We start from the raw sequence: 14,646 nt of genomic DNA on the forward strand, positions 1-14,646 counted from the left end.
AAACAATTGAATCCAACATTGCTAAAACTTTCATTCCATGATGACTAACTCTTCTAAACAATTGAGACGGAATAATACTCACCTTAGGTAAACTTTTCTGTGAATAAAAAAAGAGGAAGTGCCTCTATTGTCTGAAGCAAGACTAACTTTGATTCTAAAATCTGACGGGGACATTTAAAAATAGAAAACTGATAGGCCAGTCTTTCTCATGGATATAGATGCATTTATTCTAAACAAAAAAATTACAGACAGTAATAAATAAAAATGGTAATACATTGTCAAGTTATTTCACTAATACAAGAATGGTTTACCATGTGAAAATTATCAGTGTAATTCTCTGTGCTAATAAACAAAAAAATATGATCATCTTTGATACATGCATATCAGCACTTAATAGGTTCAGTGTTTATGTGGGAATAAGAGAAAAAACAAAATAGAAGGGAATTTCCTTAATCTGATTAAAAAACATACAGTAAACATCATATTTGGCAACTTCCTAAAATTCCTGAGATAAGGAATAATACAAGATGCCTGCTCTTGAGTATTTTACTGGGACCCTGAGCATTGCATTAAGACCAAAACAAAAAACCCACACACATCCCGGTAAAAATAAAATTGCCCTCCTTAGCAGATGATTTGATTTTGTACATAGAAAAAAAAATTAGACCTAATTCGTAAATTGGGTAAGGTTAATGAATACATAGTAAATAATGATGATTCATGTCATAATGCATCATAAAAAAAGGAAGTTTTAAAAAAATCTATTGTCATAGCATCACAAAAAGTTTTGAATCAATCTAATAAAAGATATGCACACTGAAAACTGAAAAATCTATTCAAATAAATTTTTTAAAAACTTAAATGGCAGGTAAACCTGATAATGGATTGGTAGACTCAACGTTGTAAAGATACTCGTCTTGATCTTGAGTAGAATTTGTGCAGATTTTTTTCTGTGGAAATTGACAATGAGATTTTAGCAGAGGGTAATGAATAGAATAGTTGAGACAATATGAAGGAAGAATAATGCTGGAGAACTTACACTTACAGATATCAACATTTATTATAGATCTTTAATATTTATTCATTTCACATAAAGCCATCTGGAACAGAATCTATAGTCCAGAAACATACTCACACTTATAAAATCACTTGATTTGTAACGAAAGTGGCCTTGCAGTGCAGTGAGTAAGTATGGCATTTTTGATAAATATTGCCGAGCCAACTGGATATCCATATGGGAAAAAGATGAATTTCAACTTTTACCTCCCACCATACACAAGAGGAATCGTGAATCTAAAAGTAAAATGCGAACATTAGCACTTTTAGAAGAAAGCATGGATATGTATCTCCATAATTGGTGGGTGGGCAAAGATTTCTTAAAACAGAACATAAGAAGTGGTAACCATAATAGAAGAAATAATTGATAAACTGAACTACATTAAAATTAAGAACTTCTGTTTGTCAAAAACACCATTAATAAAATGAAAAGAAAGACAAGCCTCATGTTTGGTGAGGACTATTTGCCATGTGTATATTTAACAAAGAACTGGTACCCAGAAATATAAAGAATCTTGACAAAACAAGAATAAGACAGTGAAATTTTAAAAGAGGTAAATGACTTGCTGGGTACTTCACAAAAATGTCCAAATTTCAATTAATATATGAAAAGGTATTCAACCTTATTAATCAGGGAAATGCAAATAAAATGACAGTGTGACACTATCATACCTCTGCCAGAAGATCCAGAATGAACACACAGAGGCTCACAGCTAATACCAATAATTGGTAAAGATGGATATCAAGTGGATCTCTCGTGTACTGTTATTTGGAATATAAATTTTGTTCAACCTCCTGAGAAATGTGTTTGGTTTTATCTGCTAAAGCTGAGTATTTACATACTCTGTGATACAGAATTTTCAAGAAAATGTTTCTTACCTTGGGCAGGTTATGTAGATTATGATTAGGAAGAGACACAAGAGAGCTCCTGTCTTTCTGTTAGTGTGTTTTGTGAAAATTAATCTAGCTGTAACTATGAATCATGCCCTTTTTTGTATGAATATAGTTAAATAAAAATATTTTAGTCAAATTGATTGCAAAATTAAAACTTCCAGATTGCTGAAAGTAATGAAATGGTGACATATCAGTTGTTAACAACCAAAAAAGGATGCATCAGTTATGAGAATTTTGATAAACTGAAACCTAGGCTATTTTGCATTTTAGAAGTGCATGTTACTCAGTGTTTTGTTGTTTCTTATGAAAAGTGCCAGCGCTATGTGAGTAAATACATTTGCCACTACTTCAGATGATTCTGTGTATTATTCCAGGTTTGAACCTGGTTTTGTTTTATTAAACCATTTCCTGGAATCTTGATTAATTATGTATTAAGATGATTTTTTAAACTGGTGACATACCGTAAATAGTATTGTTGCTGCTATTGCCTCTTTTCCTCCATGTAGAATGTAAGCTTCCTAATGACAGTTTTCTGTCTCATGTTTTTGTTCATCGCTTTATCCTCAGCTTCTAAATTAGTTCTTAAATATATAGTAAGCTCTTGGTGAATAAACCTTGTATGAATAAATGATACTTTTTTTTATGTCAGGGGACATGTCACTTATTCAGGATTTCTAGCTGAGGATGGCAAGCCTCTTTATCTTATTCATTCTTACATCTCTAGAGTCCAGTAACATACCTGTTATACAATAGTGCCTCCAGTAAGTAATTGTCAAATGAGTAAAATAAACTGGAAAGGTTCCATGGAGAACCATTTATGGGCCATGAGTTAACCCTGTTTTAGAGATTGACTGGGTTGACATAGCATGAACAAGATGTGGATGCAGGCATTACCATCATGGATGCAGGGGGAAGCAAGAAGAGTGGCCTGAATGGAGCATGCAGTGCCAGTTAAGGAGCGGTAGGACATGGAGCTATTTAAGGAGTATGGGAGCAAATTGTGGGGGGATTTGGAATAATAATATTTATTGAGCTTGTGTATTGTGTGCAATTTTTAAATGCTCTACATGGATTAACCTACTTAAAACCCCTGCGGTTTAGAAAGATTGATACCAATATTATCCTCATGCTATAGACAGGAAACTGAGGCCCAAAGCAATGGACTTGCTCAATGTTTAAATGCTCTACATGGATTAACCTACTTAAAACCCTTGCAGTTTAGAAAGATTGCTACCAATATTATCCTCATGCTATAGATAGGAAACTGAGGCCCAAAGCAATGGACTTGCTCAAGGTTGCACAGGTGCTGAAGATACATCTGCAACTCGAGTATTATAATTTATAAGCCTCCATTCCCAAGTATTATGATAAAATTCTAGGCAAGGTACTTTAAACATACCAGTGGTAGGTCTTAAGAGCACAGAAGGTTCTTGGGTAGATACTCCTGTTTGTGAATATCTTAGTTGGTTACATATTTTTATAGCCAAAAAAAGTGAGACTTCTTAGATTCTCTCTAATTTCTGGGTTTAGATATCGTTTTTTATTTGCCCCATCTTCTTCCCTTTTGTATCCTTGTTTTCTCCTTTAAAAAATTGTGCAAACTAGAATATTTAGACTCCCAGTCGTGCATTGCTCGTTCTTGTCTTTGGTGTTTTTGGTGTTTTTATTGTTATTTTTGGTACAAATGCCTATCAGAGCCAGGAAGCTGAAGTAAGGAGTGATTGGGCAAGTTATAGGATAGCAGGAAGTACAGGTACTGTTTTAACCTAGAGAACACATTTAGTCTAAAGGAGTCCCAGTTCATTAACTTTAAAATATTTTGTGATTTAAACAAAACATGCTGACACCTCAGTTATACTGATTGAACTGTGACTTCTGGTTTATGCATTCTCTCCCCACCCTCTCTGCAATACCTTGGATCTTCAATATTAGTTTTCCAACTACAGCTTTGTCTGATATATTCAGCAGGTATATAATCTTTGCGAGTTATTCCTGGCTATGTCTTTTTGTGATTTCTTCCATCTCTAAACATCTTCTGAATTTACTGTGTCGTAAACTTTGCTGAAAGTATTTAGGTACTTACGGAGATTTAAGTACCGTAATCCAAGAATGTAGGGTTTTGGTTATCCAAACTAATAGAAGAATGATGTTTAGAGGATATAGAAGATGATTATCATGTCCTTTAAAATATCACTAGAACATCAAGTGTCTCATCTGTGCTTCTGACTGGCTCAGGTGAGCACATAGTATCAGATTGCCTGTCACCAGGCCAGATGCTTTACATATGTTATCCGATGTAATTATTAACATATTTCTTTAACAGAGCTGGCATACCAATTTTATAGATACGGAATCTGAGATGCAGGGAGAATAAGTAACTTACTCAAAGTCCCATAGTTAATAAGTGAAATTTTTTAAAATGTGTGAGCTGATACATGATTTTTAAAAGATACTTTCATGATGACCATTGTCTTTTAGAAATGCATTATTCTGGTATTCTCTGGTTTACATATTGAAACACTGCACCCTGTTTTTCAGTGTATAGTCTTTGCTATGACTTCTGGCCAGATGTGGAACCATATCCGTGGACCTCCATATGCTCATAAGAACCCACACAATGGACAAGTGGTAAGTGTAATTTATAAGCATGAATATTCTGAAGTTTAATCCAGCTTAATTTAGGAATAAGAAATTATGTTTAGTATTTAGTAGGAAAAGATTCTGTTTGTCAGTCAAAATATATATTCTTTCTCATTTACTACCTGTGTCACCTATATACACATGTGCATACACACACACACACAATATTACTTTTGTTAGGATGAGGGCTGCTTTAGTGTTGATTTAAAAAATTAATATCTACCATATCAAATATACATGCATTCACTATTTTTTCAAGTTTATCTGCTGCTATGGCGATAACATGTAACCCCACTAGAGGAAATCGGAATAGTTTATAGCCAATGTCCCTCCCATCCATGGTAAATTTAATTTTCTTCAGAAGGGATTAAGACATTATTAAGAACCCGGGTGGTCATTGTATTAGAATGTTAGGAACTCTTTGCCACAGAATTAAAAGTGAAATTGATATGTTGTTACATTAGTAGCAGAGTTTACGTTAGTAACTGCCACCGAATTCACATAACTGAGTTTGTTGCCTTCTCTTTACGTTTGGTGAATAGGAAATACTGTGATAAATCAACATAGAAACATACTGTCTTTGAGACAGTATTAGGATAGTGAAGATGAACAGTTTTTCGTTTTTTCTCTAACCTTTTCTGCTTTTTCTTTTGGAAAAGATACGTATTTTGAGAATAATATAATGGCATGGCTTCTTGTACCCATCACTAGACTTTTTCAGCTCTCATCTCATAACTATTCTTGTTTCATCTTTCTTTCTGTCCACCTGCTAATAATAAAATAATTATTATTACTATATAATAATCAATTTGGGCCCATATTTTTGGGAACATTTTCAGATTTCTGTAGTGGAAGACAAGGATATGGAGTTAAAGCTAGCCTCTTTGAATAATTGGTTGCCATAATAAGTTAGACATAGTTTTTGCTATATTTATATGTTTTTAAAATCTGGCATTATTTAGAAGAGTAATTTCAGAAAGTCTTCAATATTCAAAATTCAGTTATACAAAGAAAAATAATTGGAAGCAATTTTAGAGCAATAAATTATTCCCTTACCTTTAATTTTTCACACAAATGCTGGCTTCCCAACAAGATCCTTCCTGACGACACTATTTAAAGTTAGCCCTTTCCTCTCTTCCTCCTCCCTGGTCCCTATACTCTGTCTCCCTCTCCTGTTTTATTTTTTCTCCACAGTACTTGTCACCTTACAGTATGCTACATAATTTATCGAATGTGTTATTTTGTCCGTTTGCCTTTTGCCATGACCCTAGTAATAGATAAGCTTCTGAAAGAATGGATTTTATCAGGTTTTGTCACTGATACATTTCTGTTACATAAAGAAGGGCCTGATGCAAAGATCTGATCGCTGTCGTGTTAATGACACTTAACGTTGTAAATTTAGGAAATCTTATAAATTTTTGTTACTGCCTTTTAGTATTCTTCTAAGAGTATTCTTTAGGTATAAAACATATTAAGGCATTGCTTTTCATTATTGTTTATGGTTTGTTAAAGTATACGAAAAGTTATTCAACATTCTTATGAAATGTTTTAACATATTGTATTCTTTTTTTTTGGGAGGGTTTCAGACTTTTTTTTTTCTTTGGTTGTTAGAACTTTTATTTTAGGTTAGGGGATACCTGTGCAGGTTAGTTACATTGGTACATTGCATAATACTAAGGATTGGGGTATGAATGATCTTGTCACCGAAGTACTGAGTATAGTACCAAATAGGTAGTTTTTCAGCCCCTTCCTCCTCTACCCTCTAATAGGCTGCAGTGTCTGCTCCCATCTTTGTGTCCATGTTTATCCAATGTTTAGCTCCTACTTATAAGAACGTGCAGTACTTGATTTTCTTTTTCTGTTAATTTGCTTAGGATAATGGCCTCCAGCTGCATCCATATTGCTGCAAAGGACATGAGTTCATTCTTTTTTATGGCTGTATAGTATTCCCTGTTGTATATGTACCACATTTTCTTTATCCACACTGTGGATGGACACCTCAGTTGCTTCCATATCTTTGGTATTGAGAATAATGCTGCAATGAACATACAAGTGTATGTGTCTTTTTTGTAGAACAATTTATTTTCCTTTGGGTATATACCAGCAATGGATCGCTGGGTCGAACGGTAGTTCTATCTTAAGTTCTTTGAGACATCTCCATGTTGTTTTCCATTATAATTGTACTAATTTACATTCCCACCAGCAGTGTATGTGTTCCGTTTTCTACACAGCCTTGCCAGCATCTATTATGTTTTGACTTTTAAAAAACAGCCATTCTGACTGGTGTGAAATGATATCTCATTGTGATTTTAATTTGCATTTCTCTGATGATTAGAAATTAAATGTATGTAATTAAATTATTAGAAATTAAATGTATGATGTGTGGAGCATCTTTGCATATATTTGTTGCCCGCTTATCTGTCTTCTTTTCAGAAGTGTCTGTTCATGTCTTTGCCTGCTTTTTAATGGGGTTATTTATTTTCTGATTGTTGATTTAAGTTGCTTATAGATTCTGGATATTAGACCTTTGTCAGGTACATAGTTTGTAAATGTTTTCTCCTATTCTGTAGGGTGTCTTTTTAGTCTGTTGATAGTTTCTTTTGCTGTGCCAAAGCCTTTTAGTTTAATTAGGTCCCACTTGACTATTTTTTATTTTGTTTAGATTGCTTTTGAGGTCTTATCCATAAATGCTTTGCCAAGGCCAGTGTCCAGAATGGTATTTCCTGGGTTGTTCCAGGGGACATTTTCCAGCGGACATTTGGTAGTGTCTGGATACATTTTAGATTGTCTCAACTTTCAGGGCAACTACCGACTACTGGCAGTTAGTGGTAGAGGCCAGGAATGCTGCTAAACACCTAAAATACAAAGGACAGCCTCCTATACCCAATTAAGAAAATCATCCAGCTCCAAATATCAGAGTATTGAAAGTGAGAAGCCTAGAGAAACTTAGATGTAATTTTGACTTCCTGCATATTTTGCAGCTAAGAAAACTAATCCATCTAGCATATAACCCCAAAGAAGGATTTTCTTTTTCTGCAAAAAGGAGAAAATTTGAAAAACTGAAATAGCTAGAGCTTAGGATCATGGTGACCTACATTTAATGTTTAGGATGGTTGTATATATTGAAAGTCATCAGTAAATATGATTGGTTTGTAAATGTTTATTTTTTTAATTTTTTAAAATTTTATTTTATAGAGTTAGGGTCTCACTCTGTCACCTTGGTGCAGTGGTACGATCATAGCTCACCGCAGCCTTGAACTCCTGGCTCAAGTGATCCTCCTGCCTCAGTGCCCTAAGTACCTCGGACACTGTGCCTGGCCTTTGTTTTTCCCCAAGAAATAGGGTCTCACTGTGTTGTCCAGGGTGGTCTTGAACTCCTGGACTCAAGCAGCTCTCCTGCATTGGCCTCCCTGAGTTCTCGGATTACAGGCCTGAGCCACTGTGCCCATCTGTAAATGGGTTTTCTTTTACTATGCGTTAGTAAATATGATTTAATCTGTGACATTTTATATGCTTACAAAGAGATTTTGATAAGAGAAAGTAAAGACTCTGGCTCACAGAGACATTTTTATGCCTTTGTCCTGAAGTGTGCAGGCAAAGAGAAACAGAAAGAAAACAGAGCAGGGTTCTTTTCCAAACTCTGACTCTTACCAGGTCTGTCTTTTTTGGGGAAGTTACTTATTCTCTCTGTTCTTCTTCTGTAAAATGAGTTGAATTCTGCTTTTCTTAGTTTGTAGTTTTTGGTAGATAAAATCTGATAATAAATACAGGGCTGAGAATGGCTCTGTCCATGCCCATATCAGCACAAAACTGGTAGATAGCAGTGCCATAAGGCAAAGAGGGAAGGTGGTGTCAGACAGAGCCAGGTTCTATGACACATAGCTACCAGGGCCAAGCCAGCAGTAGGCTTAGTGCAGGGGCAGGAAAGGTGGGGAGTAGTAAGATAGGCAGATGCTGGAGGCACTAAGAAGGGTGCCATGGGTGGGAGGAACAGAAAGAGAAAGACAGAGACATCCACTGGTTGGAGAGGCCTCGTCTGCATAAGCACTTTTAAAAGTTGAAAACACACGTGTCTTATTTTGAAGTCCTTTCAGAACAGATCCAAAGACAGTGATTTAAGTGAAAGAAGTTCATATTGGAGGTTAAGGAAACATGGGAGAAGAGAGGGAAACTGAGTCTAGGAAGGAAAGCAGTCAAAAAACATGTTTATCCAGTCAGTATTGTGAGCCACTGAACCTTATTTCTGCTATGAGATCTCTGGGAGCCTGTGTAGGGCATGTATGTCAACTTTCCTACTACAGTGGTAAGGGAGCTGAGGTATATATACGCCAGATCTCATCAGCCATTTGCTGAGTGCTGTTCTCTTGGCAAAGTTATTACTTCTCCAGCACTGGTGGACTTTGTCTGTCAAAGAAAGCCATCTAGTCAAAGAAATGCAGGTGCTGGTGGTGGAAGTCAGGCTGGAACACACTAAGGCATTAAGGGCAAAGAAATATGGGTAGTATACTACTCATAGACTGTATTTACTACAATTTATATCAGTTTATTTTTTTTTAGTAGATTCCAAAGGAGAGGAAAAAAATAATGAAAAAACCACATTGGGTATTGGTTTTATTTCGAGATATGCCCTGGAAAAAAAGCAACAAATAAAAGTCTCATCAATTAAATATAGTTTTATTTTTAAGCCAATATCATATGTCTTGTAAACAATCCTTCAGAATAAAGTAGAAAAATGTACGCATATTTAAGAACATCTATCTCTATAGGAAATTTTGTCTTTATTTCACATTTTAACAAGTCTTTTTAAAAATTTTAAATTGATGGAGTACATGTGCAGGTTGTTACAAGAGTATATTGTGTGATGCTGAGGACTGGGCATTACTGAGGCCATCACACAGATAGGAATTTTTTCAGCTTTTGGCCTCCTTCCCTCACTCCCTCTTTTTGGAGTCCGTAGCATCTGTTGTTCTAATGTATATGTTCGTATGCACCCAAGGTTTAGCTCCCACTTGTGAGAACATAAAATATTTGGTTTTCTGTTTCTGTGTGAATTTGCACCTCTAGCTGCATTCATGTTGATTTGGAGGACATGATTTTATTGTGCTGCATAGTATTCCTTGGTGTATATGTACCGTATTTTCTTTATTTAATTCACCGTGGATGAGCACCTAGGTTGATTTAATGTCTTTGCTATTGTGAATAACGCTACAGTGAACATACAAGTACATGTGTCTTTTTGGTAGAACTGTTTATTTTCTTTTATGTATATACCCAGTAACGAGATTGCTAGGTAGAATGGCAGTTCTAATTTTAGTTCCTTGAAAAATCTCCAAAGTACTTTCCACAGTGGCTGAACTAATTTACATTCCCAGCAGTGGTGTATAAGCATTCCCTTTTCTCCACAGCCTTGGAAGCATCTTTTTTTTTTGACTTTTCTGTAATAGCCGTTCTGACTTGTGGGAAATGGTGTCTCATTGTAGTTTTGATTGGCGTTTCTCTGATGATTAGTGTTGATGAGCATTTTTTCATGTTTATTGACCACTTGCATGTTTTCTTTTGACACGTATCAGTTCATATCCTTTGCCCACTTTTTAATGGGGTTATTTTTTGCTTAAGTTTTTTAAGTTCCTTATAGATTCTGGATATTAGTCCTTTATCAGATACATAGTTTGTATTTTCTCCTGTTGTGTAGGTTGTCAATTTACTCAATTGATAGTTCCTTTTGCTGTGTAGAAGCTCTTCAGTATAATTAGGTTCCACTTGTCAATTTTTGTTTTATTTGCAGTTGCTTTTGAAGACTTAGTCATAAAATGTTTGCCTATGCCAGTGTCCAAAAGGATATTTCTTAGGTTTTCATCTAGGGTTTTTATAGTTTTAGGTATTTTTAAGTCTTTAATCCATCTTGAGTTAATTTTGTATATATGGAAAGCTAGGGATCGAGTTTCATTCTTTTGCATATGGCTAGCCAGTTACTCCAGCACCATTTATTGAATAGGTGTTTATTCCCCATTGTTTGTGTAGACTTTGTCAAAGATCAGGTGGTTGTAGATGTGTAACTTTACTTCTGGGTCGTCTATTGTGTTCCATTGGTCTGCATGTCTATTTTTGTACCAATACCATGCTGTTTTGGTTACTGTTGCTTTGTAGTATAGTTTGATGTTGGGTAATATCCCTCCAGCTTTGTTATTTTTGCTTAGGATTACCTTGGCTATTTGTTCTCTGTTTGGGTTCCACATGAATTTTAGAATAGCTTTTTTTTTTCTAGTTCTGTGAAAAATCATGATAAATTGAGAGGAATAGTACTGAACCCGTAGATTGCTTTGGGCAGAATGGCGATTTTAATGATAGTGAGCCTTCCAATCCATGAGCATGGGTTGGTTTTCCATTTATTTGTGTCATCTATGATTTATTTCAGCAGTGTTTTGTAGTTGTCCTTATAGAGATCTTTCACCTCTTTGGTTACATGTGTGCCTAGGTAATTTGTGTGTGTATGTGTGTGTGTATGTTTGTGGCAGTTGTGAATAAGAATGTGTTCTTGATTTGGTTCTTGACTTGAACGTTATTGGTGTTTTAGAAATGCTACTAATTTTCATAGATTGATTCCTGAAACTTTACTGAAATCGTTTATAAAGCCTTTTGGTAGAGTATTTAGGGTTTTCTAGATACAGAATCATATAGTCTGCAAAGAGAGATACTTTGACTTATTCTTTTCCTATTTGGATGTCTTCTGTTTCTTTTTCTTGCCTTGTTGCTCTCATGAAGACTTCCAGTACTATGCTGAATAGTAGTAGAGAGTGGACATCCTTGTCTTGTTCCAGTTCTCAGGGAGAATGGTTCCAGCTTTTGCCTCCTGTTGAGTATGATGTTGCCTGTGGGTTTGTCATAGATGACTCTTACTATTTTGAAGTATATTCCTTTGATGTGTTTGAGGATTTTTATCATGAACAGATGCTGGACATTATTGAAAGCTTTTTCTGTGCCTATTGTGATGATATGGTTTTGTTTTTAATTATGTTTATGTGGTGTATTACATTTATTGATTTGTGTATGTTGAACCAACTTGGCATCCCAGAAATGAAACCTCCTTGATTATAGTGAATTAAACCTTTGAATGTGCTGTTGGATTCAATTTGCTATAATAATATTTTGTTGAGGATTTTTACATCTATGTTCCTTAGTGATATTGGTGTGTAAATTTTTGTTGTTGTGTCTTTGCCAGGTTTTGATATCGGTGCTGCTGGCTACATAGAACGTGTTAGGGAGGATTCCTTCATCCTTGATTTTTTTTTTTTTTTGGAATAGTTTCAGTAAAATTGATGTCAGCTCTTCTTTATTATCCATCTTGAATTCATCTGAGGATTCCGTCCTCCTTTTTTTTTGGAATAGTTTCAGTAGGATTGGTACCAGTTCTTCTTTATATATTTTATGGAATTCATCTGAATACATCTGGTCCAGGGCTTTTTTTGGTTAGTAGGTTTTTTATTACTGATTCAATTTCAGAAGTCAGTATTTGTCTGTTCAGGGTTTCAGTTTCTTCCTGATTCAGTCTTGGAAGAGTGTATGTTTCCAGGAATTCATCCATTTACTCTAGATTTTCTAGTTTTTGTGCAACAAGGTATTAATATAGTGCCGAGTATCTTTTTTATTTCTGTGGCATCAGTTGTAATGTCACCTTTGTCATTTCCGATTGTGCTTATTTGGATCTTTTCTCTTTTTTTTTTTCTTTATTAGCCAGTAGTCTTTCGATCTTGTTTATCCTTTCAAAGAACCAACTTTTGGTTTCATTGATTCTTTATATGGATTTCTGGGCTTCAATTTCATTCAATTATGCTCTGATTTTAGTTATTTATTTTTGTCTGCTACCTTTTGGGCTAGTTTTTTCTTGTTTTTCTGATTTCTCTAGCTTTGATGTTAGACTGTTGAGATTTTTGTCTTCTTGATCTAGGTATTTAACACTATAAACATTTCTCTTAATATTGCTTTTACTGTATCCCAAAGATTTTGGTATGTTGTATCTTTGCTGTCATTTGATTCAAAGAATTTTTTGTTTTCTGTCTTAATTTGCTATTTACCCAAAAATCATTCAGGAGCAAGTTGTTTAGTTACTATGTAATTTTGTGTTTTTGAGATTTCCTCTTGATATTAATTTCTATTTTTATTCCACTGTGATCTGAGAATATGCTTGGTATGATTTTGATTGTTTTGAATTTATTAAGATTTACTTTGTGACCAAGGATGTGATTGATCTTCGAGTATGTTTCATGTTCAGATGAGAAGAATGTTTATTCTGCAGTTGTTGTGTGGAGTATTCTGTAGATGTCAGTTAGGTCCATTGCATTGAATTTAAGTTCAGAATTTCTTTGTTAATTTTCTGCCTCAGTTATCTGTCTAATGCTGTGAGTGGGGTCTCGACATTCCCCACTATTATTGTGTGCCTGTCCAAGTCTTTTTGTAAGTCTAGAATTTTTTTATGAATGTTTTATGAATCTGGGTGCTCTAATTTTGGATTCATATATATTTAAGATACTTAAGTCTTCTGGATGAATCGAACTCTTTATCATTATGTAATTACCTTCTTTGTCCTTTTTTAACTGTTGTCGTTTTAAAGTCACTTTTATCTCGTGTAAGTACAACCTCTGCTCTGTTTGGTTTTTCATTTGAGTGTTAGATCGTTTTCCATTACTTTGAGCCTGTGAGTATTGTTACATGTGAAATGGATCTATTGGAGACGGAACATATTTTAATGCAGTTTTCCCCTGTGTGTCTATTAAGTGGAGCATTTAGACTGTTTACATTCAACGTTAATATTGATATGTGAAGTTTTCTTCCTATCGTGGTGGTGTTAGCTGGGTTAACTTTTATTCTTGATTGTGTACTTGCTTTATAGAGTCTCTGGGCCATGTGCTTATGTGTGTTTCTGTGGTGGCAGCTGTTGTTCTTTTGTTTCCATGTCTAGAACTTTCTTTTTTTTTTTTTGTAGCTGTTGTAAGGCCAGTCTTGTGGTAATGAATTCTCTTAGTGATTGATTCTCTGGGAAAGGCGTTATTTTTTCACTTACCAGCTTAGTTTGGCATGAGATGCAATTCTTGGTTGGAATTTTGTTTCTTGAAGAATTCTAAAAGCAGGCCCCATTCTCTTCTGGCTTGTATGTTTTCTGATAGGAAGTACTATGTTAGCCTGATGAGGTTCCCTTCAGAGGTGATATGACCCTTTTCTCTAGCTGCCTTTAAGATTTTTTCTTTTGCGTTGACCTTGGAAAGGCTGATGACTATTTGCCTTGGGGATGGTCAACTTGGGTAGTTTCTTGCAGGGAATCTCTGCATTTCTTGTATTTGCACTTTCATTTCTCTAGCGAGATTGGGAAAATATTTGTGGGTTATATCCTCAAATATGTTTTCCATGTTTTCTGCTTTCTCTTAAGAACGCACAATGAATCATAGATTTGGTTGTTTTACACAATCTCTTATTTCTCAGAGGCTTTGTTCATTTCTTAAAATTATTTTTTCTTTATTTTTATCTGACTGGGTTGATTTGAAGGAGTGATGTTCAGGCTCTGAAATTGTTTCTTCTGCTTGATCTAGTCTATTGTTAAGACTTCCAACTGTAATTTGAAATTCCTATGGTGGATTTCTCAATTCCAGAAGTTTAGTTTGTTTCTTTCTTACTATATCTTTGTTGTATTTCAAATTTTGGATTGCTTTTCTGACTTCCTTGGATTGGAGTTCAGCTTCCTCTTGTATCTCATTGAGCTTCTTTGCCGTCCAGGTTCTGAATTTATATCTTTAATTTCAGACATTTCATCCTGGTTAGGATCGATTGTTAGGGAGCTAGTGCAATCCTTTGGATATTACAAAACACTGACTTTTTCAATTCTTGTACTTCCTGCACTGATTCCTTCTCAGAAGGAACTGGTGCTTCTTTTTCTTTTTGAATTTGCTGTTGTTTTGTTGGGGCTTTTTATTTTTATGTTCTTTTTTCCTTGAAGGTTTGACTATGGTATATGGTGTGTATAGTCAGCTGGCTTCGTTTCTGAGTACTTTCATATGGCCAAGACTT

At 34.9% G+C, this 14,646-nt stretch overlaps 1 protein-coding gene across 35 annotated transcripts in view; it reads left to right on the forward strand.

Annotated features, from left to right (window-relative positions):
- Window positions 1-14,646, forward strand: part of TUSC3 (tumor suppressor candidate 3) — a 434,904-nt gene that overhangs the window by 252,071 nt on the left and 168,187 nt on the right. For 34 of the 35 annotated variants that reach the window (NR_182196.1, NR_182195.1, NR_182199.1 and 31 more), the window contains one exon: window positions 4,489-4,578. Coding sequence is in view for 30 of the 35 variants with exons in the window: in NM_001413670.1 (NP_001400599.1) it covers window positions 4,489-4,578 (90 nt within the window). In the remaining 5 variants the exon portion in view is untranslated. Of the gene's footprint in view, window positions 1-4,488; window positions 4,579-6,464; window positions 6,993-14,646 lie in introns of those variants that run through there. The other variant, NM_001413687.1, reaches the window with a different exon arrangement.

Source organism: Homo sapiens, chromosome 8 (genome assembly GCF_000001405.40).
Source record: "Homo sapiens chromosome 8, GRCh38.p14 Primary Assembly".
Lineage (NCBI taxonomy): Eukaryota > Metazoa > Chordata > Mammalia > Primates > Hominidae > Homo > Homo sapiens.